Source organism: Homo sapiens, chromosome 2, assembly GCF_000001405.40.
Source record: "Homo sapiens chromosome 2, GRCh38.p14 Primary Assembly".
NCBI classification, from domain to species: domain Eukaryota; kingdom Metazoa; phylum Chordata; class Mammalia; order Primates; family Hominidae; genus Homo; species Homo sapiens.
In genome coordinates this window covers 61,014,134-61,040,147 of record NC_000002.12, presented here as the reverse complement: position 1 = coordinate 61,040,147, position 26,014 = coordinate 61,014,134, and the positions used below count along the sequence as shown (strand labels likewise).

The following is a 26,014-nucleotide window of genomic DNA, read 5'->3' as shown; positions in this document are numbered from 1 at the left end:
TTACACTCCCACCAACAGTGTAAAAGCATTCCTATTTCTCCACATCCTCTCCAGCATCTGTTGTTTCCTGACTTTTTAATGATCATTCTAACTGGCATGAGATGGTATCTCATTGTGGTTTTGATTTGCATTTCTCTGATGACCAGTGATGATGAGCATTTTTTCATATGTTTGTTGGCTGCATAAATGTCTTCTTTTGAGAAGTATCTGTTCATATCTTTTGCCTACTTTTTGATGGGGTTGTTTTTTTTCTTGTAAATTTGTTTAAGTTCTTTGTAGATTCTAGACATTAGCCCTTTGTCAGATGGGTAGATTGCAAACATTTTCTCCCATTCTGTAGGTTGCCTGTTCACTCTGATGATAGGTTCTTTTGCTGTGCAGAAGCTCTTTAGTTTAATTAGATCCCATCTGTCTATTCCGGCTTTTGTTGTCATTGTTTTTGGTGTTTTAGTCATGAAGTCTTTGCCCATGCCTATGTCCTGAAGGTGTTGCTTAGGCTTTCTTCTTGGGTTTTTATGGTGTTAAGTCTTACATTTAAGTTTTTAATCCATCTTGAGTTAATTTTTGTATACGGTGTAAGGAAGGAATCCAGTTTCAGCTTTCTACATATGGCTAGCCAGTTTTTCCAGCACCATTTATTAAATAGGGAATCCTTTCCCTATTTCTTGTTTTTGTCAGGTTTGTCAAAGATCAGATGGTTGTAGATGTGGTATTATTTCTGAGGCCTCTGTTCTGTTCCATTGGTCTATATATTTGTGTTGGTACAAGCACCATGCTGTTTTGGTTACTGTAGCCTTGTAGTATAGTTTGAAGTCAGGTAGTGTGATGCCTCCAGCTTTGTTCTTTTTGCTTAGGATTGTCTTGGTTATGTTGGCTCTTTTTTGGTTCCATATGAACTTTAAAGTAGTTTTTTCCAATTCTGTGAAGAAAGTCAGTGGTAGCTTGATGGGGATAGCATTGCATCTATAAATTACCTTGGGCAGTACTGCCATTTTCATGATATTGATTCTTCCTATCCATGGGCATGGAATGTTCTTCCATTTGTTTGTGTCATTTTTTATTTCATTGAGCAGTGGTTTGTAGTTCTCCTTGAAGAGGTCCTTCACATCCCTTGTAAGTTGGATTCCTAGGTATTTTATTCTCTTTGTAGTAATTGTGAATGGGAGTTCACTCATGATTTGGCTATTACTGGTGTATAGGAATGCTTGTGATTTTTGCACACTGATTTTGTATCCTGATACTTTGCTGAGGTTGCTTATCAGCTTAAGGAGATTTTGGGCTGACACAATGGGGTTTTCTAAATATACAACCATGTCATCTGCAAACGGAGACAATTTGAGTTCCTCTTTTCCTAATTGAATACCCTTTATTTCTTTCTCTTGCCTGACTGCCCTAGCCAGAACTTCTAACACCATGTTGAATAGGAGTGGTGACAGAGGGCATCCTTGTCTTGTGCTGGTTTTCAAAGGGAATGCTTCCAGTTTTTGCCCATTCAGTATGATATTAGGTGTGGATTTGTCATAAATACCTTTTATTATTTTGAGATACATTCCATCAATACCTAGTTTATTGAGAGCTTTTAGCATGAAGGACTGATGAATTTTGTTGAAGGCCTTTTCTACATCTATTGAGATAATCATTTGGTTTTTGTCTTTGGTTCTGTTTATGTGATGGATTACATTTATTGATTTGCGAATGTTGAACCAGCCTTGCATCTCAAGGATGAAGCCAACTTGATCATGGTGGATAAGCTTTTTGATGTGTTGCTGGATTCGGTTGGCCAATATTTTATTGAGGATTTTTACATTGATGTTCATCAGGGATACTGGCCTACAATTCTTTTGTGTGTGTGTTTCTCTGCCAGGCTCTGGTATCAGGATGATGCTGGCCTCATAAAATGAGTTAGGGAGGATTCCCTCTTTTTCTATTAATTGGAATAGTTTCAGAAGGAATGATACCAGCTCCTCTTTCTACCTCTGGCAGAATTTGGCTGTGAATCTGTCTGGTCCTGGACTTTTTTTGGTTGGTAGGTTATTAATTACTGCTTCAATTTCAGAACCTGTTATTGGTCTATTCAGAGATTCAACTTCTTCTTGGTTTAGTCTTGGGAGGGTGTATGTGTCCAGGAATTTACCCATTTCTTCTAGATTTTCTAGTTTACTTATGTAGAGGTGTTTATAGTATTCTCTGATGGTAGTTTGTATTTCTGTGGGATGGGTGGTGATACCCCTTTTATCATTTTTTATTACATCTATTTGATTCTTCTCTCTTTTCTTTATTAGTCTTGCTAGCAGTCTATTTTGTTGATCTTTTCAAAAAACCAGCTCCTGGATTCACTGATTTTTTGAAGGGTTTTTTATGTCTCTATCTCCTTCAGTTTTGCTCTGATCTTAGTTATGTCTTGCCTTCTGCTAGCTTTTGAATTTGTTTGCTCTTGCTTCTCTAGTTCTTTTAATTGTGATGTTAGGGTGTTGATTTTAGATCTTTCCTGCTTCTTGTGGGCATTTAGTGCTATAAATTTTCCTTTACACACTGCTTTAAATGTGTCCCAGAGATTCTGGTATGTTCTGTCTTTGTTTTCCTTGGTTTGAAAGAACATATTTCTGCCTTCATTTCGTTATTTACCCAGTAGTCATTCAGTAACAGGTTGTTCAGTCTCTATGTAGTTGTGTGGTTTTGAGTGTTTATTAATCCTGAGTTCTAGTTTGATTGCACTGTGGTCTGAGAGACAGTTTGTTGTGATTTCTGTTCTTTTACATTTGCTGAGGAGTGTTTTACTTCCAATTGTGTGGTCAATTTTAGAATATGTGTGATGTGGTGCTGAGAAGAATGTATACTCTGTTGATTTGGGGTGTAGAGTTCTGTAGACGTCTATTAGGTCCGCTGGGTCCAGAGGTGAGTTCAAGTCCTGGATATCCTTGTTAACCTTTTGTCTCATTGATCTAATATTGACAGTGGGCTGTTAAAGTCTCCCATTATGATTGTGTGCGAGTCTAAGTCTCTTTGTAAGTCTCTAAGGTCTTACTTTATGAATCTGGGTGCTCCTGTATTGGATGCATATATATTTAGGATAGTTAGCTCTTCTTGTTGAATTGATCCCTTTACCATTATGTAATGGCCTTGTCTCTTTTGATCTTTGTTTAAAGTCTGTTTTATCAGAGACTAGGATTGCAACTCCTGCTTTTTTTTTTGCTTTCCATTTGCTTGGTAGATCTTCCTCCATCCCTTTATTTTGAGCCTATGTGTGTCTTTGAACAAGAGATGGGTCTCCTGAATACAGCACACCCATGGGTCTTGACTCTTTATCCAATTTGCCAGTCTGTGTCTTTTAATTGGGGCATTTAGCCCATTTACATTTAAGGTTAACATTGTTATGTGTGAATCTGATCCTGTCATTCATTATGATGTTAACTGGTTATTTTGCCCGTTAATTGATGCAGTTTCTTCATAGCGTTGATGGTCTTTACAATTTGGCATGTTTTTGCAGTGGCTGGTACCAGTTGTTCCTTTCCATGTTTAGTGCTTCCTTCAGAAGCTTTTGTAAGGCAGGCCTGGTGGTGAAAAAATCTCTCAGCATTTGCTTGTCTGTAAAGGAATTTATTTCTCCTTCGCTTATGAAGCTTAGTTTGGCTGGATATGAGATTCTGGGTTGAAAATTCTTTTAAGAATGTTGAATATTGGCTCCCACTGTCTTCTGGCTTGTAGGGTTTCTGCTGAGAGCTGCTGTTAGTCTGATGGGCTTCCCTTTGTGGGTAATCCGGCCTTTCTCTCTGGCTGCTCTTAACATTTTTTCCTTCATTTCAACCTTGGTGAATCTGACAATTATGTGTCTTAGGGTTGCTCTTCTCGAGGAGTATCTTCCTGGTGTTCTCTGTATTTCCTGAATTTGAATGTTGGCCTGCCTTGCTAGTTAGGGAAGTTCTCCTGGATAATATCCTGAGGAGTGTTTTCTAACTTGGTTTCATTCTCCCTATCACTTTCCGGTACATCAATCAAACGTAGATTTGGTCTTTTCACATAGTCCCGTATTTCTTGGAGGCTTTGTTCATTTCTTTTCACTCTTTTTTCTCTAATCTTGTATTCTTGTTTTATTTCATTAATTTGATCTTCAATCACTGATATCCTTTCTTCCACTTGATTGAATCGGCTTTTTTTTTTTTTTTTAAGATGGAGTTTCGCTCTTGTTGCCCAGGCTGGAGTGCAATGGTGTGATCTTGGCTCCCTGCAACCTCCGCCTCCTGGGTTCAAGCAATTCTCCTGCCTCAGCCTCCCTAGTAGCTGGGATTACAGGCATGTGCCAACACGCCCGGCTAATTTTGTATTTTTAGTAGAGATGGGGTTTCTCCATGTTGGTCAGGCTGGTCTCGAACTCTCGACCTCAGGTGATCCGCCCGCCTTGGCCTCACAAAGTGCTGGGATTACAGGCGTGTGCCACCATGCCTGGCCATTGAATCAGCTATTGAAGCTTGTGTGTGCATCATGAAGTTCTTGTGCTGTGGCTTTTAGCTCCATCAGGTCATTTAAGGTCTTCTGTACACTCTTTATTCTAGTTAGCCATTCATCTAACCTTTTTTCAAGGTTTTTAGCTTCCTTGCGATGGGTTAGAACATGCTCCTTTAGTTCCGAGACGTTTGTTATTACCAACCTTTGGAAGCCTACTTCTGTCAACTTGTCAAACTCATTCTCCATCCAGCTTTGTCCCCTTGCTGGCGAGCAGCTGCGATCCTTTGGAGAAGAGGCGCTCTGGTTTTTGGAATTTTCAGGTTTTCTGCTCTGGTTTCTCCCCATCTTTGTAGTTTTATCTACCTTTGGTCTTTGATGTTGGCAACCTACAAATGGGGTTTTGGTGTGGATGTCCTTTTTGTTGATGTTGATGCTATTCCTTTCTGTTGTTAGTTTTCCTTCTAACAGTCAGGCCCCTCAGCTGCAGGTCTGTTGGAGTTTGCTGGAGGTCCACTCCAGACCCTGTTTGCCTGGGTATCACCAGCAGAGGCTGTAGAACAGCAAATATTGCTGCCTGATCCTTCCTCTGCAAGCTTTGTCCCAGAAGGGCACCCGCCTGTTGAAGGTGTCTGTTGACCCCTACTGTGAGGTGTCTCCCAGTCAGGCTACACAGGGGTCAGGGACCTGCTTGAGGAAGCAGTCTGCATTCTTGGAGCTCGCACACTGTGCTCAGAGAACCACTGCTCTCTTCAGAGCTGTCAGACAGGGACGTTTAAGTTTGCAGAAGCTGTCTGCTGCCTTTTGTTCAGCTATGCCCTGCCCACAGAGGTGGAATCTAGAGAGGCAATAGTCCTTGCTGAGCTGTGGTGGGCTCCGCCCAGTTCGAGCTTCTGGGCTACTTTGTTTACACTGTGAGCTACTCAAGCCTCAGCAATGGCAGATGCTGGCCCTGCCCCATCAAGCTGCAGCGTTGCTGGTTGATCTCAGACTGCTGCACTAGTAGTGAGCAAGGCTCCGTGGGCATGGGACCTGCCGAGCCAGGCACAGGAGGGAATCTCCTGGTCTGCCAGTTGCGAGGACCATAGGAAAAGCGCTGTATTTGGGCAGGAGTGTACCATTCCTCCAGGTACAGTCACTCATGGCTTCCCTTGGCTAGGAAAGGGAAATCCCCTGACCCCTTGTGCTTCCTGGGTGAAGCGATGCCCTGCCCTGCTTCAGCTCGCCCTCTGTGGGCTGTACCCACTGTCCAACCAGTCCCAGTGAGATGAACTAGGTACCTCAGTTGGAGATGCAGATATCACCCGCCTTCTGCGTCGATCTTGCTGGGAGCTGCAGACCGGAGCTGTTCCTATTTGGCTATCTTGGAAGCGACTGCCCGCAAAAAGGTATTCTTTTTAAAACCTAAGTCGGCTGGGTGTGGTGGCTCATGCCTGTAATCCTAGCACTTTGGGAGGCTGAGGTGGGCAGACTGCCTGAGCTCAGGAGTTTGAGACCAGTCTGGGCAACACGGTGAAACCCCGTCTCTACTAAAATACAAAAAATTAACCGGGTGTGGTGGCCTACACCTGTAGTCCCAGCTACTCAGAAAGCTGAGGCAGGAGAATTGCTTTAACCCAGGAGGTGGAGGTTGCAGTAAGCTGAGATCGCGCCACTGCACTCCAGCCTGGGTGACAGAGCAAGACTCTGTCTCCCGAAGAAAAAAAACAAAACAAAAAACAAAACAAAAAAAAACACCTAAGTCAGGTCATATTACTCCTTTGCTCACAAATCTCCAGTGGCTTCCCATTTTGGAATAAAGGCCAATGTTCTTACACATGTCTACAACTTATACCATCTACTCCCTTCATCTCCTGCCACTAACACTTTGCTCCAATCACACTGGCCTCCTTCCCGTTCCCATGATATGCCACTTACATACCTCTACATTTTTGCTGTTCCCTATGACTGAAAACACTCTTCCTTCAAAGAGCTGTAGGACTTACTCCCTTAACTCCTTCAGGGAGGCGTTCCCTGACTATATGTAGCACTGCAACCCCTGTTCCTCCTCCTGACACTCCCAAAATTCTTCCCAGTTTTGTTTTTTCCCCTATAGCACTTACCAGTACCTTCTGGCTTACTATATATTTTACTTATTTATTTACTGTTTCTCCCTATTAGACTGCCACAAAGGCAGAGATTTTTAGAATATATTTTATTCATTGCTATATCCCTAGCTCTGAGAATTCTTTGGTATGTAGTTGGCACCCAACAAATATTTATTGAGTTAATAAAACATTATCCTTCTAATAACCCAAATTTAAAGGTCTAGGGCATTTTGATTTCTACTTTGCCTTTATATACCTCATTTAGTCAGTAACTACATCCTCTGAATCTATTATATGAATCCTGCTTCTCACACACTCTATTTTGGGTCTTCATTATCTCTCAAACAGTCTAATGCAAAAGTATCATTACTGATGCCCCCAAATTAATAAATATCTATTAAGTACCTTCTATGTGTCAAGCAGGTTAGACAGTAGGAATACAAAGGTGAATACAACCCAAATCCTTTATGAACTTTACCACCTAATTACAACGTGCTGACTTCTACTGATTTATCTTAAACCCTTCAGACTGACTTTTTCGTTTACATGTATGTCACAGTCTGCTTAAAAACAAAAACAAACATAAACTACCAAAAAACCATCCATTCCTTATGTAAAGATTAAGTCTCATAATGCCAATTAAGAGCTTCTACTATTAGCTTTCAACCTAATTTCTCAGCATTATTTCTTACGATCCAATGCAATACTATAGGACAACTACCAAATAAATCTCATATTTTCTGCCTATATACTTTTGTTCAAGCTGGTCTATCAGCTTGATAGTTTTTGTTTCTTTATCTAACTTTTGAAAGGTTGCCTAGCTTTCAAAAATCTAACTTAGATGCCATTTCTTCCTGGATACCACAGTAAAAAATGTTAGCTTCTCTTTTCTAAAGTGAGCTAATACTCTCTACTAGTTGAGAGAATACAGCTTAACATTCAACCAGTCCTGGTTTTGTTTATAGTTCTGCCTTATTAAAGATGTGACCCTAGGTAAGTGAGTTCTCTGGATCTCAGTTTTATCACTTGCAAAATGAGGATAATTCCTATCTCTTTGGATTGTTGAAATAATTAAATGAGATAAAACACACAAAATACCTAGCACAGTGTCTTGCATATTAAAAAAGGTTCAAGAAACCTTATGTCTCTCCCCAATTGTTATATTTCTTATCACACTTTCTGCCTCATTACCTGTATATGTGTCTTAAACCACCTCCCTTCCAATAAATTTTAGAAAGATAGGAATTATGCCCTATGTATCTTTGTATCCTCCACAGCACCAATTTCAGTACCTTGTAAACAGGTAATGTGCACTATTAAACTGAACAATAAACTAATCAGCAAGCCTATTTTTGCTATATATTCCTCTGCCAGTTTTGAAGCTCTTAACTGAAAATATAACTGGAAACAGTAAATACAAATCAATATAAAGAAAACTAACAAATCTATTCTTGAAATTTGAGATTGTTATATGGTATCTGAACCTGTTCCCTTACAGTTCTCTTACCTGTTACTTCATCACTGTGAGTAGACAATAGTTTCCAAATGAGGTAAGGACCACCAAGGATAACAGCAAAGAACAAGAATATTGGCCAAGATTTTGCTGAGGTAGCTGCTCGGTCCTCAGCACCAAGGCATGCCACAGTTCCTTCACTCTCTGCCCAGAGGTCTTCATTCTCAGAGCCTCTTCTTAAACCTAACATCCGCTGTAGCCGTCTGTAAAGATACCGTATAGTCCTAACCAATGCAAAAGCTGAAAACACTTTTGTAAAGTGTATTTTCAATCGGGAAAAGTGATTTGCTACATCCAATACAGCCCTGAAACTGTTATAGACAGCTGAAAAGGTAGCATCCATCATCATACTGACAGAGGCAAATGCATGCACAATACTTTCAATGGACTGAAATGCACCCCTGCTGCTTTCTTCAGCTTGCTGAACAAATCTACTGGGTGGAAGATCATCTACACGGAGGCGGTTGTAGCCCAGCCCATTATATCCATAACTATAAGGACTATAGCCTCCATAAAATGAATTTCCATAGGCACCATATCCAGAAGAAAATGAACTGTAAGCAGGTCTAAAAGTGTTCACACTGCTACTTCCTGTCTGCTGTGATGGCCTTGGAAGAATAGGTGGGGGCACTCTGGTAAGTGCTGGTTGTCCAGGTCTTGTCATTAAAGTAGGACCCAAATCAGCAGATCTAAAACCAAAAAAGATTCAAAACAGTTATTTAAGCATACAATAAATTCAATTCAAAGTAAGTATTAAACATCTCCTATATACCTGGTGCTATGACAAATTCTACTGAAGACTGATTAATTGATTTAGAGACAGGGTCTCACTCTGTTGCCCAAGCTGGAGTGTAGTAGCACAATCAAAAGCTCACTGTAGCCTCAACCTCCCAGGCTCAAGTGATCCTCCCACCTCAGCCTCCTGAGCAGTTGGGACTACAGGTGCATGCCACCACACCTGGCTAATTTTTTATATTTTTTGTAGAGATGGGGTTTCACCATGTTTCCCAGGCTGGTCTCAAACTCCTGGGCTCAAACGATCCATCTGCCTTGGTTTCCTAAAGTGCTGGGATTACAGGTGTGAGCCACTGTGCCCAGGCATCACTTTAAAGTTTAAAATTTAATAGGTTTTAGTACACTCACAGAGGTGTGTAACTATCACCATGTCTAATTCAGAAGATTTTCATCACCTCAAAAAAGAAACCCCATATTCATTAGCAGCTATTCCCCATTTCCTGCCCACCCCTCCACCCATCTTTGGCAACCATGAATCTACCTTCTGTCCCTCGGTTTGTCTATTCTGGACATTTCATATATAGTTAATTCTTGTTATTTAAGATAGTTATATCCTGTAAAGTTGCTGTGAACTCTGAACCAGCAGATACCAAATCACTGCTTCTTTCATCAACCAATCAATACATATACTTATTTTATATGTTTCTGTTTAAAGTCACTTTATTCCAGGTATATTGTTAACTCATTAACAACTCATGGCCAACAGCACAATAGCCCATGCCTGAATGAAGCTTATCTAACACCTGTATTTTCTCTGTAAGGCACACTACAGCATTCCTGTGCTTAGGAACACTAGAGATCACTTCAGCACTATGCTTGGGGGCCATTTTAGACAGCAAAATCACCATAAAAAAATGTGAAAAAACCTGGCACTAAACAGACTTTGATAAAGACAACTGTTTACAGCATGAGAGCTGAAATAAGAAACCAGAGTGTTGCTTTTTTGTCTCTCAGTTGTCCCTCAGTTGTCAGCTGAGGGACAACTCAGATTTTTACCTGATGTACGTTTGTCCTCAAATGACTGTGATAGTGCCAGGAATATTGATTTTCAGATTACAAATAAATTTTAGTGAGCAGACCAATTTGAAAATACAGAATCCACAAATAATGAGGATCTATGGTAAATGGACTCATACAATACGTAGTATTTTGTGACTGGCTTCTTTCACTTAGCATAATGTTTCCAGGGTTTATCCATTTTATAGCATGTATCAGCACAGGCAGCCCTTGGTATCTGTGGGGGAGTGGTTTCAAAATCTCCTTCAGATACCAAAATCCATGAATGCTCAAGTCCTTAATATAAAATAGTATAGCATTTGCATATAACCTATGCACATCCTCCTGTATACTTAAAATCATCTCTAGCTTATAGTATCTAATACACTGTAAATGTATGTAATTACTTATACTGTAGTGTTTAGGAAATAATGACAAGGAATAAAGTCTGTACATGTTCAGTACAGATGCAGTTTTTTTTTTTCTGAATACTTTTTTTTTTTAAGAGACAGGGTCTCACTCTATTGTCCAGGCTAGAGTGTTGTGGCATGATCATAGCTCACCGCAGCCTCCAACTCCTGGCCTCAAGTGATCCTCCCACCTCAGCCTCCCAAAATGTCAGGATAACAGGTGTTAGCCAACACGTCTGGCCTATTTTCCGAATATTTTTGATCCACAGTTGGTTGATCAGATGTGGAAGGCCAACTGTATTTCATTAATTTTTATTGCCAAATTATATTTATTCACACATCAGCTTATGTATATTGGGGCTGTTTTTACTTCTTGGCTATTACAAATAATGCTGCAATGACCATTTATGTACAAGTTTTTGTACGGACATGTTTGCTGGGTTATATGGAAACTCTATATTTAGCCTTTTGAGGAACTGCCAGATTGTGTTCCAAAGCAACTGTACCATTTTACATTCTCGCCAATGTATGAGGATTTCCAATTTCTCCACATCCTTGGCCACATCTGCTCTTATATTTTTCATTATAGCTATCCTAGTGGGCGTGAGGTGGTATTTCACTGTGGTTTTAATTTGCATTTTCTTGACGGCTAATGATGTTGAGCATATTTTCATGTGCTTATTGGTCGTTTTACAATCTTATTTGGAAAAATATGTATTCAGATACTTTGCCCACTTTTAAGTTCGCCCTCTTTTTTTTTTTTTTTTGGAGACAGGGTCTCCCTCTGTCATTGAGGTTGGAGTGCAGAAGCGCAAACACAGCTCAAGTAATCCTTCTGCCTCAGCTTCCTATGTAGGTGAGACCACCACTCCCGGCTAACTTTTTGGTAGAGATGAGGGTCCCACTTTGTTGCCCAGGCTGGTCTCAAATACCTGGGTTCAAGCAATCCTTCCACTTCTACCTCTCAAAGTGCTGGGATTACAGGCATGAGCCATTGTACTTGGCTTAGCCTTTTTATCACTGCTTTTTAAATTATTGTGCTACATGAGTCAAAAATATCTTTAAAAATTTTTTTGAACAAAAATTCAATTAAGGCTCACACACTGCATTTGGTTGGTTTGTTTCCTTTCTTTTCTAAATGAGAACAATCCCATTTTTTCAAATATCCCTGACCTTCTAAAGAGTCAACCCAGTTTTTTTCTAGAAATGTCCTACCCCCAGCCCAGGCATGGTGGCTCATGCCTGTAATCCCAGCACTTTGGGAGGCTGAGGCAGGCGGGTCCCCTCAGGTTAGGAGTTCGAGACCAGCCTGGCCAACATGGTGAAACCCCGTCTCTACTAAAAATACAAAAATTAGCCGGACGTGGTGGTGGGTGCCTGTAGTCCCAGCTACTCGGGAGGCTGAGGGAGAATCGCTTGAACCCCAGAGGCGGCTGTTGCAGTGAGCTGAGATCATGCCACTGCCCTCCAGTCTGGGTGACACAGTGAGACTCTGTTTCAAAAAAAAAAAAAAAGAAAAGAAAGAAATGTCCTACCCCCAGATTTGTGTTTCCCCCAAGTGTTGTTTAACTTGTACTCTTATTTCGCCTCCTATTAAATTAAGATTGCATTTAACGGTTTGATTGCAATCAGGTTCAATATTTTTTGGCAAGAATAATTCATAAGTGATGTTGTTTACTTCACACAGTATTACTTTAGGAGGCGCATTTGTGAAGCTAAATTTGATTAGTTGGTTAAGGAGGTGACTATTAGATCTTTCCATTAAAATGTATCTTTCCCTTTGTAATTAGTATATAATCTATGGGATGACAGTTTTGTACCACAAATATTCTATTCCTCAGCAACTGTTCATTTGATAGTTTAGCATCGATTCATCATCCTTGCCTGAAACAAATATTAGATGTGGAACTGCAAAATGGTAATTTTCTAATCCAGGCTAAAGTTTTAATTTAGACTTGTATCGTAATATTATAAACAAGCTACTAGAACTCTATTTTTTTTTCTTTTATTGGATCTGATATTTAAAAATGGAACAAAACTTAAAAGGAGCCAGTGAACGGCCAGATAGTGCAGTGCATTCAGGCTTTAATGAAACAGTTCTGCTCCCAAGTATAAGCAATAATAGAGAAAACAGAGAGACAAACAAACAGACATTATCTAGATTTAACACAAGACAGACTTATGGAAGAGAAACTAAACAGAAATGTAAAATGGTAAGGAGGGCTGAAGCTACGGGCCTACTCAATTCTGGTTCTGTAATCAGGCAGTGACAGCCAAGATGCAGGCTTCAATGAAGTAACAAAAACGAAAAGTGCTCCATTAAAATGGAACCAGTTCAATGCTTGAGGCTGGGAATGAGGATGTGCCACCTTGACTCCTACAAAGAGATTATAAAATTTGCTGATGACAGTTTAATATTTTGAGAAAGTTACAGAACTAAGAGAGGGAGAGGACTGTGATAAGGCCTCCAGCCCAGGAAATGAAACAACTGACCGACTTGATGTGTGATATCCTTAATCTAACTCGCTGTTTTTGTGTGTGTGTGTGTGTTTTGTTTTTTTTTTTTTTGAGACAGAGTCTCACTCTGTCACCCAAGCTGGAGTTCAGTGGTGCAATCACGGCTCACTGCAACCTCAAACTCCTAGGCTCAAGCGATCCCTCCCACCTCAGCTTCCCAAGTAGCTGGGACTACAGGCGTGCACCACCATGCCTGCCTTTTTTTTTTTTTTTCTTTTTGATATTTTTTGTAGAAATGGGTTCTCGCTACATCTTGAGAGGCTGGTTTCCAACTCCTGGGCTCAAGCAATCCTCCTGCCTTGGCCTCCCAAAGAGCTAAGATTACAGGTGTGAGCCACCATGCCCAGTCTGACCCACTGTTTTTACACCTGATTCTTACCTAAGTGGTAGGTAGAGGGAACAGGGAGAGGCAACAGGACACCTATTAGATAGAGAGAGGGGAACATGGAAGAGGGAAAGGAGAGAAAACAGAACTCCAAAATTACTACTCAAAATGACCATCTCAAAAATGCCACACACATGAAGAAATAAAAACACTAAGAAACAAAGCCAACAAAAATCAGCAAGTATAAAACCCAATTTAAAAAAACTAATTTTATATAACAGCTCAGGAATGATTTTAGATATGTTAAAAATTATCAGAGAGAGAAATGAAATAATATCTGTGAAATAAAAATTGAAATTAAATAAAAACATTTAAATATTTTAAAAATTCCATTAGAAATCTTAGAAAAGGTGGCCACAGGCCAGGCGTGGTGGCTCATGTCTGCAATCCCAGCACTTTGGGAGGCTGAGGTGGGTGGATCACAATGTCAGGAGTTCAAGACCAGCCTGGCCAAGATGGTGAAATACTGTCTCTACTAAAAATACAAAAATTAGCCACGCGTGGTGGTGGGCGCCTGTAATCTCAGCTCCTCGGGTGGCTGAGGCAGAGAATTGCTTGAACCTGGGAAGCGGACAGAGGTTGAGGTGAGCCGAGATAGCACCACTGCACTCCGGCCTGGGCGACAGAGTGAGACTCCGTCTCAAAAAAAAAAAAAAAAAAGAAAAAAGAAAAGGTGGCCACAGCCACTGGAACCGTTTTTCAACTACCGGTCAAGAAGAAAATTAGCTGCTGTACACTAAGGAGCAGAATGGAAATACAGAACTTGGGAATTCTATTTTAAGTAATGGTTGTCGAGGTAATTAGATTAACCCTCCCAATGAACTAGAAGGGAAGGAAATAGGAAGGAATTCTGTTTAAAGCATTAGAGAACGAGGCACCGAAGAATTCTGGAGACAAAATCAAGGAGGAAAAAAAAAACCCAGAGAGCCAGATCTTTTCAGGCGTTTCTCTAGAAACCAGGGCCAATTCCAGAAGAGATGGTTGACAGGATGAGAAGCTGGGCAGAGATTTTAAGACTCCCTGGGCTAAGGAGCCATAAACTGGAGTTCAGAACCCTAAAGAGGAAAGCCATAGGGAACCCTCACACTTCAGATTGGGACCTTAAAAAGGGAAATATGCTAGTAGAAAGGGTGAAAAGGTTAACAGGAAATGGACTACCTGGCAGGAATGAAAACCAAGTTTTAAATCAGCTCAATCCTTTATTGGATTAAAGTGATTCTAGATTGTTAGTGGCCTAACATTCTGGTCAAAAGGAAAAGTCTTTAGAGAAAGATATCCTTAGGCCTCAAATCACATTAAACTGTCTATATACAATGTGCAGCTCTCATTAAAAAATAAACGGGCTTGGCTGGGCATGGTGGCTCACTCCTATAATCCCAGCACTTTGGGAGGCTGAGGCAGGTGGGTCACTTGAATCCAAGAGTTTGAGACCAGCCTGTCCAGCATGGCGAAACCCTGTCTCTACTAAAAATACAAAAATTAGCCAGGTGTGGTGGCGAATGCCTGTAATCCCAGCTACTCAGGTGGCTGAAGCACAAGAATCACTCGAACCTGGGTGACAGGGGTTGTAGTGAGCCGAGATTGTACCACTGCACTCCAGCCTGGGCAACAGAGCAAGACTCTGTCTTAATAATAATAATAATAATGATAATAATAATAATAATGATAGGGCTTACATAACAAAATTATGGGTGGATCATGAGGTCAGGAGTTCAAGACCAGCCTGGCCAAGATGGTGAAACCCCGTCTCTATTAAAAACTATAAAAAATTAGCTGGGTGCAGTGGCAGGTGCCTGTAATCCCAGCTACGGGGGAGGCTCAGGCAGGAGAATTGCTTGAACCTGGGTGGCAGAGGTTGCAATGAGCCGAGATCACGCCACTGCACTCCAGCCTGGGCAACAGAGTGAGACTGTCTCAAAAACAAAACAAACAAACAAAAAAAGAAACTTCAGATAATACAAAGAGCTCCAAAGGGGATCTAGATAATAGAGTTATTATAGACTTATTAGGCAGAAACTTTAAACAACTGTGTTGAATATATTCAAATAAAAAAGGCAAGATTGGGATTTTCCAAAAGAAAATAGGAACTATAATATAAAGCAGGACCAAATGAAGATTCTACAACTAAAAACAACACCAAACCAAACCTGAAATTATGAACTCAATGACTGTTTTTTTTGTTTTTGTTTTTGTTCTTAGATGGAGTCTCACTCTGTTGCCCAGGCTGGACTGCAGTGGCGTGATCTCGGCTCACTGCAAGCTCAGCCTCCTGGGTTCATACCATTCTCCGGCCTCAGCCTCCTGAGTAGCTGGGACTACAGGCGCCCACCACCACGCCCAGCTAATTTTTTGTATTTTCAGTAGAGACGGGGCTTCACCATGTTAGCCAGGATGGTCTCGATCTCCTGACCTCGTGATCCACGCGCCTCGGCCTCCCAAAGTGCTGGGATTACAGGCATGAGCCACTGCACCCGGCCTCAATGACTGGTTTAATACCAGATTAGACACAGTGAAAGAAAAATATCAGTGAACTAGGAAAGAGATGGGAAGAAAATACCCAGAATGAAGCATAAGAAACAGAAGGATAAATACAGAAAAGAGAGTAAGATACAGGGAGTATAGTGACATATGGGGTATATATGCAAGTTGAGTTAAAGGAGTAAAGTGACAATAGATAGAAACCATATTTAAAGAAATAATGGCTTAAAGTTTTCTGGAATTAATAAGAGGCATCAAAGTCAGATTCAAGTATCCCTGTGAATTCCACCCAGGATAATACAAAGAAGACCACACTGAGGCCTAACAAAGCAAACTGCTGAAAACTAAAACAGAGAAAAAATATTGAAAGCAACCAGATCAGGGGTGGGGTAAGATTCTTTTTAAAGGAGCAAAGAATAAGACAGAGATGGTGAGGGAGTGGTGGCTCATGCCTGTAATCCCAGCACTTTGGGAGACCTAGGTGGGAAGATCACTTGAGCCCAGGAATTTAAGATCGGCCTTGGCAACATGGTAAAAACCCATCTCTACAAAAAATACAAAAATTAGCTGGGCGTTGTGGCACTTACCTGTGGTCCCAGCCACTCGGGAGGCTGAGGTGGGAGGACTGCTTGAGCCCTGGGAGATGGAAGCTGCAGTGAGGTGTGATTGCGTCACCACACTCCAGCCTGGTGACAGAGTGAAACTTATTTCAAAACAAACAAACAAACAAACAAACAAAACAAAAGACAGAGATGGCCAAAAAGTCAAGAGAGCTGACAAAAAAAAAAAAAAAAGAAGTCAGGAAAAACTTAGGTCCCTTGATGACAATGTTGAGAAGGCAGATCTCTAGACTTCTTGCTAACTAAACAATAAATGTCTTAATAGTCCAAATCACAGTGAGTCAGATAATGTTACTTATAGCAGACACTAGTCCCGATATAATGCTTGACAGAAGAAGAGACAGTAAAGACTAGTGTTCAAACAAAACTTAAAATAATATTTAAAGGTATAATTGATGAGCATTTTCCTGAATTAAAAAAAGAAATGAATCCTCAGACTGAATACTGTGGATACTAAGCAGGAAGAAAAAAAAAATATGTGTGTGTGTGTGTGTGTGTGTGTGTCTGTATATTCCTACCTGGTTACAATATAATAAAGCTAGAGGACCAAACGTATCAAGGCTACTAAGGAGAAGGCAGTCTGCCTATAAAGAAATGAATTAGGCCAGGTGAGATGGCTCATGCCTGTAATCCCAGCATTTTGGGAGGCTGAGGTGAGAGGATTGCTTGAGCCCAGGAGTTCGAGACCAGCCTGGGAAACAAGGCAAAACTCCATCTCTACTAAAAATATAAAAATTAGTTGGGCATGGTGGCATGCACCTGTAGTCCCAGCTACTCAGGAGGCTGAGGCAGGAGGACCACTTAATCCCAGGATGTAGAAGCTGCAGTGAGCCATGACTGCACCACTGCACTCCAGCCCGGGTGGCAGAGTGAGACACTGTCTGAAAAAAAAAAGGAAATTAGACTCAACAGAAAAACCTATCTAGCTATAAAACTTTGATACAAAACCAGAATAGTACAAAGAAAAAAAATTCAATTTCACCTAGGAACATGTATGCAACAGTCTCACAATATTAGAATAGAGTTCTTTTTCTTTTTGGAGACAGGGTCTTGCTATGTCACCCAGGCTGGAGTGCAGTGGTATGATGACAGCTCACTGCAGCCTTGAACTCCTGGACTCAAAGGGATCCTCCCACCTCAGCCTCCCTAGTGGCTAGGACTACAGGCACACACCACTACACCTGGCCAATTTTAAAATTTTTTATAGACAGAGTCTTGTTATGTTGCTCAGACTAGTCTTGAACTTCTGGCCTCAAGCAATCCTCCTGCCCTGGCCTTCCAAAATGCTAGGATTACAAATGTGAACCACTCCAACTGGTTTAGAATAGAATTTGGAATTGCATATCAGAAAAAAATCAAGACTAATCAAAGTTCATTGAGAAATGCAAGGATGGTTCAACAATAGAAGGTTGATACAATAAACATTTTCTCTAATCTTGTCTTCTCACTTTATTTCATCAATTTGATCTTCAATTACTGATATCCTTTTTTCCACTTGATTGAATCAGCTATTGAAGCTTGTGCGTGCATCACGAAGTTCTTGTGCCATGGTTTTCAGCTCCATCAGGTCATTTAAGGTCTTCTCTACACTGTTTATTCTAGTAAGCCATTCATCTAACCTTTTTTCAAGGTTTTTAGCTTCTTTGCGACGGGTTAGAACATGCTCCTTTAGCTCGGAGAAGTTTGTTATTGCCGACCTTCTGAAGCCTACTTCTGTCAACTCGTCAAAGTCATTCTCTGTCCAGCTTTGTTCCGTTGCTGGCAAGGAGCTGCGATCCTTTGGAGGAGATGAGGTGCTCTGATTTTTAGAATTTTCAGCTTTTCTGCTCTGGTTTCTCCCCATCTTTGTGGTTTTATCTACCTTTGGTCTTTGATGTTGGTAACCTACAAATGGGGTTTTGGTGTGGATGTCCTTTTTGTTGATGTTGAAGCTATTCCTTTCTGTCTACTAGTTTTCCTTCTAATGGTCACGTCCCTCAGCTGCAGGTCTGTTGGAGTTTGCTGGAGGTCCACTGCAGACCCTGTTTGCCTGGGTATCACCAGCAGAGGCTACAGAACAGCAAATATTGCTGCCTGATCCTTCCTCTGGAAGCTTTGTCCCAGAGGGACACCTGCCTGTTTGAGGTGTCTGTCAGCCCCTACTGGGAGGTGTTTCCCAGTCAGGCTACACGGGGGTCAGGGACCCACTTGAGGAGGCCGTCTGTCCGTTCTCAGAGCTCAAACACCATGCTGGGAGAACCACTGCTCTCTTCAGAGCTATCAGACAGGGACGTTTAAGTCCACAGAAGTTTCTGCTGCCTTTTGCTCAGCTATGCCCTGCCCACAGAGCTGAAGTCTATGGAGGCAGTAGGCCTTGCTGAGCTGCAGTGGGCTCCTCCCAGTTCAAGCTTCCTGGGCGCTCTGTTTACCTACTCAAGCCTCAGCAATGGTGGATTCCCCTCCCCCTGCCAGGCTGCTGCCTCGCAGATTGATCTCAGACTGCTGTGCTAGCACTGAGCAAGGCTCCATGGGTATAGGATCCGTCAAGCCAGGCATGGGAGAGAATCTCCTGGTCTGCTTGTTGCTAAGACTGTGGAAAAAGCCCACTATTTGGGCAGAAGTGTCCCATTTTTCCAGGTATAGTCTGTCACGGCATCCCTTGGTTAGGAAAGGGAAATCCCCCAATCCCTTGCGCTTCCTGGGTGAGGTGATGCCCCGCCTCGATTTGGCTCACCCTCCATGGGGTGCGACCAGTGTTCAACCAGTCCCAGTGAGATGAACCAGGTACCTCAGTTGGAAACACAGAAATCACCCGTCCTGTGCGTCAATCACGCTGGGAGCTGCAGACCAGAGCTGTTCCTATTCCCACATTTTCATACTAAAGCGAAAATACATACAATGGTCTCAACAGATGCAGAAAAGCCATTCATAAAATTTAATATTTCTTCACAATAAAAATCTGAGCAAGGTAAGGGCTGGGCATAGTGACTCACACCTGTAATCTCAGCACTTTGGGAGGCCTAGGTGGGCAGATCACCTGAGGTCAGGAGTTCAAGACCAGCCTGGCCAACATAGTGAAACCCCATCTCTATTAAAAATACAAAAATTAGCTGGGCGGAGTGGCACGCGCCTGTAGTCTCAACTGTCCGGGAGACTGAGGCAGGAGAATCACTTGAACCCAGGAGGTAGAGGTTGCCATGAGCCAAGATTGCGTCTCTGCACTCCAGCCTGGGAGACACAGTGAGACTCCATCTCAAACAAAAATAAAAATGAAATAAAAATAAAATAAAATAAATCTGAGCAAGGTAGAGAGAGAGAATTTTGACAAGATATCTATCAAAAACAAAAAGCAAACTTCACATTTAACAGTAAAACTTCAGAAGCACTCCAGTGGAAGTCAGGACCAATACAAGGATGCTAGCTTATCTGTAAATGACAGAACTGGCTACACAAAACTAAAGAGAATTTCAACCAAACCATCAGAACTAATTAAGAGTTTGAGATTATGCTGTACATAATATTTACATTAAAAAAAATCAATAGCATTCTGCCATACCAGTTAATAACCAACTGGAAAATGTAAAAGGAAAAAAGAAAGCCCATTTGCAACTACTACAGCAAAAATAATCTAGGAATAAAAAATAAAATATGGAAAAAAATTTCATGGAGGTAATTATAAGTTTTTTGTTGTTGTTGTTGTTTGAGATGGAGTCTCCCTCTGTTGCCCAGGCTGCAGTGCAGTGGCGTGATCTTGGCTCACTGCAAGCTCCGCCTCGTGGGTTCACGCCATTCTCCTGCCTCAGCCTCCTGATTAGCTGGGACTACAGGTGCCCGCCACCGCACCCAGCTAATGTTTTTTTGTATTTTTAGTAGAGACGGGGTTTCTCCGAGTTAGCCAGGATGGTCTCGATCTCCTGACCTCGTGATCTGCCCGCCCAGTCTCCCAAAGTGGATAATTATAAGATATTTAAGGCAAAAAGATAAATTCCCACCAATTGTAGCTTATACAATATTCATGGAATAAAAACTTACTTGATCCATAAATTCAGCTCAGTTCCAATAAAAATCCCAGTAAGTCTTTTTATAAAGGACTAAGTGTAAAGAGCGCAATTACAAAGAACAGCAATGTGTGGAAACTCTTGACATACTACATATCAAGACTTATAAAATTCTGTAATTAAGATAGTGTGGTGCTAGTAGAAAGTCAGAAAATGCCCAAAACAGAACTACATATTTAGGAAACCTTGATATGACATAGATGGCATTAAAAACTAAGAATAGACTACTCAATAAATGGTGCTGCGACAATTAGTTACCTATATGGAAAAAAAAATTAGATTTTTATACAAAGTCAGTTCCATGTGGATTAAATGCAAATGAAAAAACCGGAAGATTTAAAAGAAAACATACAGAAAAACTGTCCTGATCTAGGTAGACAGGATTTCTTAACCAAGACAAAAAGCATAAACAATAAAATATGACAATTTTGGCTGTATTAAAATCAAAAACATCTGTACAAAAAATTGAACATAAATATAAAGAGGAGAAGCCACACAGTGAAAAATATTAGCAAAATGTAGTAACAAAAAAGGATTAGTTTAACAATACTCTTACAAATTGGTAAGCAAAGATAAAGCCAATAGAAAATTGGGCAACAGAAAAAACAAAAACAGATACAAAAAATAATATATAAATAGTAACATGTAATTAGATATAAAATATATATTATTGTTACATTGTTAAGTTTTAGATATAAAATGCATATAAATAGCACAAACCTAAGTACTAAAATATAAAAACATTACTGGGTATGCGAAACACCAAATAAGGACAATAGTCACCACTATAAAGAAGAATGGGAGAGTTTAGCCGTCTTTTATTTTGAAAAATTCGACATAAGTCTGGCAAATGTTAACACTGTTTAAAGTTGAGTAGTGAATATATAGGTATTATCTTACTCTCTACTGGTCTCTGTGTTTAAAATATTTCACGATAAAGTGGGAAAATGGTTAATTTTACATAAAAAGAACTTTAACAGATGCAAAAAATAAAACCTCTCTCATTCGACAAGCAGCCTAAATGGGGAAAAAAGAACCCACTCAAAAAAAAGGTAGCAGATAATGTCACCGTGGCTTACCAGCCTAATCAAACTTATTACTTGTTATGTATATATCCTTATTAAACTAAGTCGTTACTGTGTTAAAGCATTTTAGTGTTTAAATAAAAGATTTCAGAATACAGCAGAAATACATTCCAATATGTTGGGGTTTTTACGCTTAGGAAAACCTACAATAGTAGGTGATTTGACATTTGAATCACACCTATCTGAATTAAGATGTCCAGCACTACCAAACAAAAGCCACACGAGGCCACGAAACACTCCCAACTCTGCATGTTTTAGCCTTTTTAAAGTCCTAGAAACCAACTGATACTGATTAAAAACCAAACAAAAAAAAAATACAGGCCTCAGAAAAATACACTATTTTGCACACAAAGTCCATCCATAGGCCTCAGATCTAGAACTCCTGCTTTAAAGTTGCTTCTCCAATCTCGATCCGAAACACTGGCTGAGTTATGCTGGAAAAGAATGCAAAGTGTACGGGGCTTGAGTTCCTGTTGCGTAAAACCTTTCCGGCTTTCAGCAACTTCTCGAGAGGTTAACACCTTTAAGGAGAGACTTTGCTCCCTGTCGATGCCGTGGCTGGACAAATGCCGCTCTCAACTGCTACAGACCAAAGTCTACGCTTTAAAGATAGAGAAGCCATTCTGTCAAAGTGAAAACAGAAGCGGTAGGTAGGAAGCCGCCCCCCTTTCTTTCAAGCACAGAGACCCAGAGAGACGCCCAGGAGCTCCCGAAAAAAACGTTGCTGATTAGAGCTGCCGGGTCAGAAACAGCTGTGAGACACTAAAGTCCCCACTGGTAAGCGCCCCAGCTCCACCTCGGCCCCTATCCCCAAGGTTGGGTATTGGTTAAAGGGGGGAAGGGAATACCTCCACTAACAACCGCTACAACCGCCTCCTGCCAAGTCCCCGCTCGGGCCCACTAAACTCACAGCCTGAAGAATCCCACACTCACTGGAAAGTGGGGCCCGGTCCTGGTCCCGGTCCGGCTCCCGGAATTCGGCGGGTCTCCCAGGGTTTGGGGGGAGGTGGCGGCTGGGACGCCATCTCCTCCGCCTCCTCTCGGCTCCCGCTCCTACCCCTGACTGTCCAGGCCCGCGTAGACCAGCACCTGGAGCGTAAGACACAACGGGCAGAACACCGAGCCGTCCACCCCGCCCACCCTTGCAGTCAGGACAAGGCTTGAGTTACTTTGCCAGCTGAATCCATACAGCGGGAGGATGCCACTAATTTGTAGGAAGAAACACGCTCTTTGTATTTGCCCCAGAAAGAGCTGCCTTTCTAAACCTCAGGGTAAAGGCTCATCGATATTTCTGGTAGCGGCTACAACTCCCTAGACGTCGGAGTCCCACCGAGGCTTTTCTGGGAGTGGACCAGTCGGGCTGGGAGTAAAGCCGCACGCACTCCTTCGCTCGTGGGGGAGGTAGGGTGAGGTGGCAAACCAGGCAGTTTTTCGGATTTCCTCTACAAACAAGAAGGGAGAAGCTCACTTAGTCCTAGCGAGAGCGGGCTGGTACTTTTGTTCTAAAACGCACGTTTCCTCGGGGAACAGAATTGCTAGACGCAATAGGTGCGTTGTCTTTAGTCTTCCCTCTTCCCTTCGAGGGCCGGAAGGGGTTAAATCTCAGGCTCCGGCGTCTGGGGAGAAGGTGAGGCGGGTAGGTAAGAGGTGAAGGAGTGCAGACTGGGTGCAAAAGAGGTGTGGCGGGAGAGAGTTCGTTTCTCTCCTGCTGGAGCGGCTTTGTTAGCAAAGGAGGGGTGAGTGGGAAGTTTGTTGCACCTGACCGAAGGGGGAAGGGCTTGCTTGGCGAAAACTGAGGCTTGAGGTTAGATCTCGGGATGAACTTTTCAAGAGTCCACAGTAGATTCCAGAGCTGAATGTTTCAGAAGCCCAGTGAAGTGTGATCACCTCTTTCTCCGTAAATCCACACCCCCAGCCCCACGCCGCGTTACGAATGACACCCTTCGGTAGGGAAATGAGTTTTAAAAGATCTTAGGATATGAGACTCAGTCTGGTCATTTCGCTAGTTTTTCTTATACCCTGCCCCTTTTCTCGTTTTCGATGACTGGTTTTTGTAATCGTCCAAGAGGTGAAAATAAAGTCCTTCCTCTCCTCCAGTAAGCCAGAGACTGGGCTAGTTATCCTTGATTTGGGGAGGAGGGATTCAGTCCTCCTAGGGAGCCTGACACATGAAAGGCGGCTTTGTAGCAACTTGTTACAGAGTTATTTCTATAAAACAAACACATAAACGAAAAGCAAACATCTTGAGGGTAACCAACACTGGAAAACTTACATTGTGGAATGCCTTTCTCAGGGCTTGCTTTCAAACATAATAAATCTAATATGGACAACCGATTTCTAATATCTTATGAAATCCTGGCATTTAATTATCTCACGATGAAAAAACCAAATTTAAGACGTAACGTATTTTCTCCTTTTAATGTTAACATTCTTGAGAAGTTGATAAATTGTTGGTAGGTGAAAATGATGTTGAGAGGTTTGTAAATTCATAGCTCGTTTATTAACACACATTCAAAAGAGGTCTTTTTTGGGGTCTATTTTTAGACCTCTTCAAATTACTCAGGACTGGAAGTTTTGTAATTCTCATCAATCAGGTTTGGGAACTTCTCAGAGCCAGGAGATTGTAATGTGTCATTTATTTACTTTGCATGATACCTTTGTTCTTGTGAACTTACTGGAAAAATAAACATTGTCTTCTAGCCATGGAAAATAAAATAAATTTTAATATAGCTATTTAAGTATCGAGGGAAATCTTCATTAAGTGTCCTTTTAAAGTGCTTATTGATTTATTGGAAGAGGGTGTATTTCTTCTGTCTCTTTTTGAGTTAAATGTTACTTCTGAATTAAGTAAAATTCTTGACCTTAACTAATGGAGAAAAAATAACTTAGAGTAACAGGTGAAACAGAAACAGTTTCTCTGTGTATGTAGTCAGAGATGCACTGTAAATGCTTATATTCGCCCCTCACAGCATCCGATCTCTTCTCTGCATCAAAGTAGATTAAATGGGCTGGGAAAAGGGATCCAGATCACTAGTAAATAGTAATGACTTGACCTTGACCACACAGATCTTATTTATTTATTTATTGAGATGGAGTCTCGCTCTGTTGCCCAGACTGGAGTACAGTGGCACGATTTTGGCTCTCTGCAACCTCTGCCTCCTGGGTTCGGGCGATTCTCCTGCCTCAGCCTCCTGAGTAGCTGGGACTACAGGTGCGTGCCACCACGCATGGCTAATTTTTTGTATTTTTAGTAGAGATGGGATTTCATCGTGTTAGCCAGGATGGTCTCGATCTCCTGACCTCATGATCCTCCTGCCTCAGCCTCCCAAAGTCCTGGGCTTACTGCAACCTCCACCTACTGGGTTCAAGTGATTCTCCTGCCTCAACCTCCCGAGTAGCAGGGATTACAGGTGCACACCTCCACACGTGGCTAATTTTTGTATTTTAGTAGAGATGGAGTTTTACCATGTTGGCCAGGCTGGTCTTGAACTCCAGACCTCAAGTGATAATGCCTGCCTCGGCCTCCCAAAGTGCTGGGATTACAGGCGTGAGCCACTGGGCCTGGCCAGATCTTCATTATTTAGAGGCTGTTTTCCACATATTCTGTTTTCTTTCTTGAAAATACCCTGGAGCCCAAATTTACTTAGGCAACCCTAACTATGCGTTTCTCAATTCTGGTGTTTCAAAGTTGTCACCTTGTCAGCTTGTATGGTGTGTCCATACAAGCCTGATTTTCTTCCCTCTGCTGACTCACATATTCCCCTGAATTAGAATTCAGCCAGAGGCAATCTGTTTTTAGTAGTCCTGGCTGCTGAACTGATTTTTATGGTGAAGAGTTCTATGTAACTATATGCCTGTCTTCCTCATTATTTTGTGCAAGAATCTTGGTAAGTGGCCCCAAACATTTAGCAACTTGCAAGTAAGTAGGAAGTTTTAGAGGTTTGGAAAACGCAGACTAGAAGAATCACGTCTTTATACTAAGCTGTTGGGAGGAGCTTCACCCTTCCACAAATTTTAAGCAAGTTCATTTGAATTATGAAACTGCACAAATTAAAAGATGCCACTGTCGTTCATCTTTATGACCACAGTTACAGCATGCCATAAGATTGCCATGCAATGATTATTTTCTAAAATATGGGCAGTTGATCATTTTAAGGTAATATGAACTGTTTCACTAATTAGAAGATCTTGTTTTGCTGAACAAATTAGGTTGTTTGAATTTTTAGTACCCCCTCCTTCCCGGTAACAGGAGACAGATTTGCCTTCATTCTCTATATAGTATTTTTTTGTGAGTTTATTTAAATTGCAAAAATTGGCAATTTAAGCAAACAGTTGCTCTCAAATATTTTGTACTTAATTTGTTTTTGTTGAAGGTTTTTTTGTTTGTTTGTTTGCTTGTTTGTTTGAGATGGAATTTCGCTCTTATTGCCCAGGCTGGAGTGAAGTGGCATGATCTCGGCTCACTGCACCCTCCGCCTCCTGGGGTTCAAGTGATTCTCTTGTCTCAGCCTCCTGAGTGGCTGGGATTATAGGCACACGCCAACACACCTGGCTAATAGTTTTTTGTATTTTTAGTAGAGATAGGGTTTTACCGTGTTGGCCAGGCTGGTCTCAAACTCCTGTTGTCAGGTGATCCGCCCGCCTCGGCTTC

The 26,014-nt window shown here is 41.5% G+C and overlaps 2 protein-coding genes across 22 annotated transcripts in view, besides 1 other annotated feature; one reads left to right on the top strand and one right to left on the bottom strand.

Moving 5' to 3' along the window:
* PEX13 (peroxisomal biogenesis factor 13) overlaps positions 1 to 22,428 on the bottom strand; it is a 34,271-nt gene extending 11,843 nt beyond the window's left edge. The window contains exons 1-2 of the mRNA NM_002618.4: positions 22,297 to 22,428; positions 8,035 to 8,729 (exon numbers count right to left, since the gene is read on the bottom strand). Of these exons, the coding sequence (NP_002609.1) occupies positions 8,035 to 8,729; positions 22,297 to 22,388 (787 nt within the window). The 5' untranslated portion in view covers positions 22,389 to 22,428. The remainder of the gene's footprint in view (positions 1 to 8,034; positions 8,730 to 22,296) is intronic.
* The window catches only part of PUS10 (pseudouridine synthase 10), a 78,037-nt gene continuing 73,911 nt past the window's right edge, over positions 21,889 to 26,014 (top strand). For 5 of the 21 annotated variants that reach the window (XM_017003428.3, NM_144709.4, XM_047443481.1 and 2 more), the window contains exon 1: positions 21,893 to 22,140. The gene's annotated coding sequence lies outside the window, so the exon portion shown is untranslated. The other 16 variants (XM_047443478.1, XM_047443476.1, NM_001322123.1 and 13 more) reach the window with 9 other exon arrangements.
* Positions 21,972 to 22,021: an enhancer, noted in NCBI's record as "active region_15828". NCBI's record gives its function as "activates an Ori minimal core promoter by ATAC-STARR-seq in GM12878 lymphoblastoid cells {active_cell/tissue: GM12878}" and the evidence as "EXISTENCE:reporter gene assay evidence [ECO:0000049][PMID:35858748]".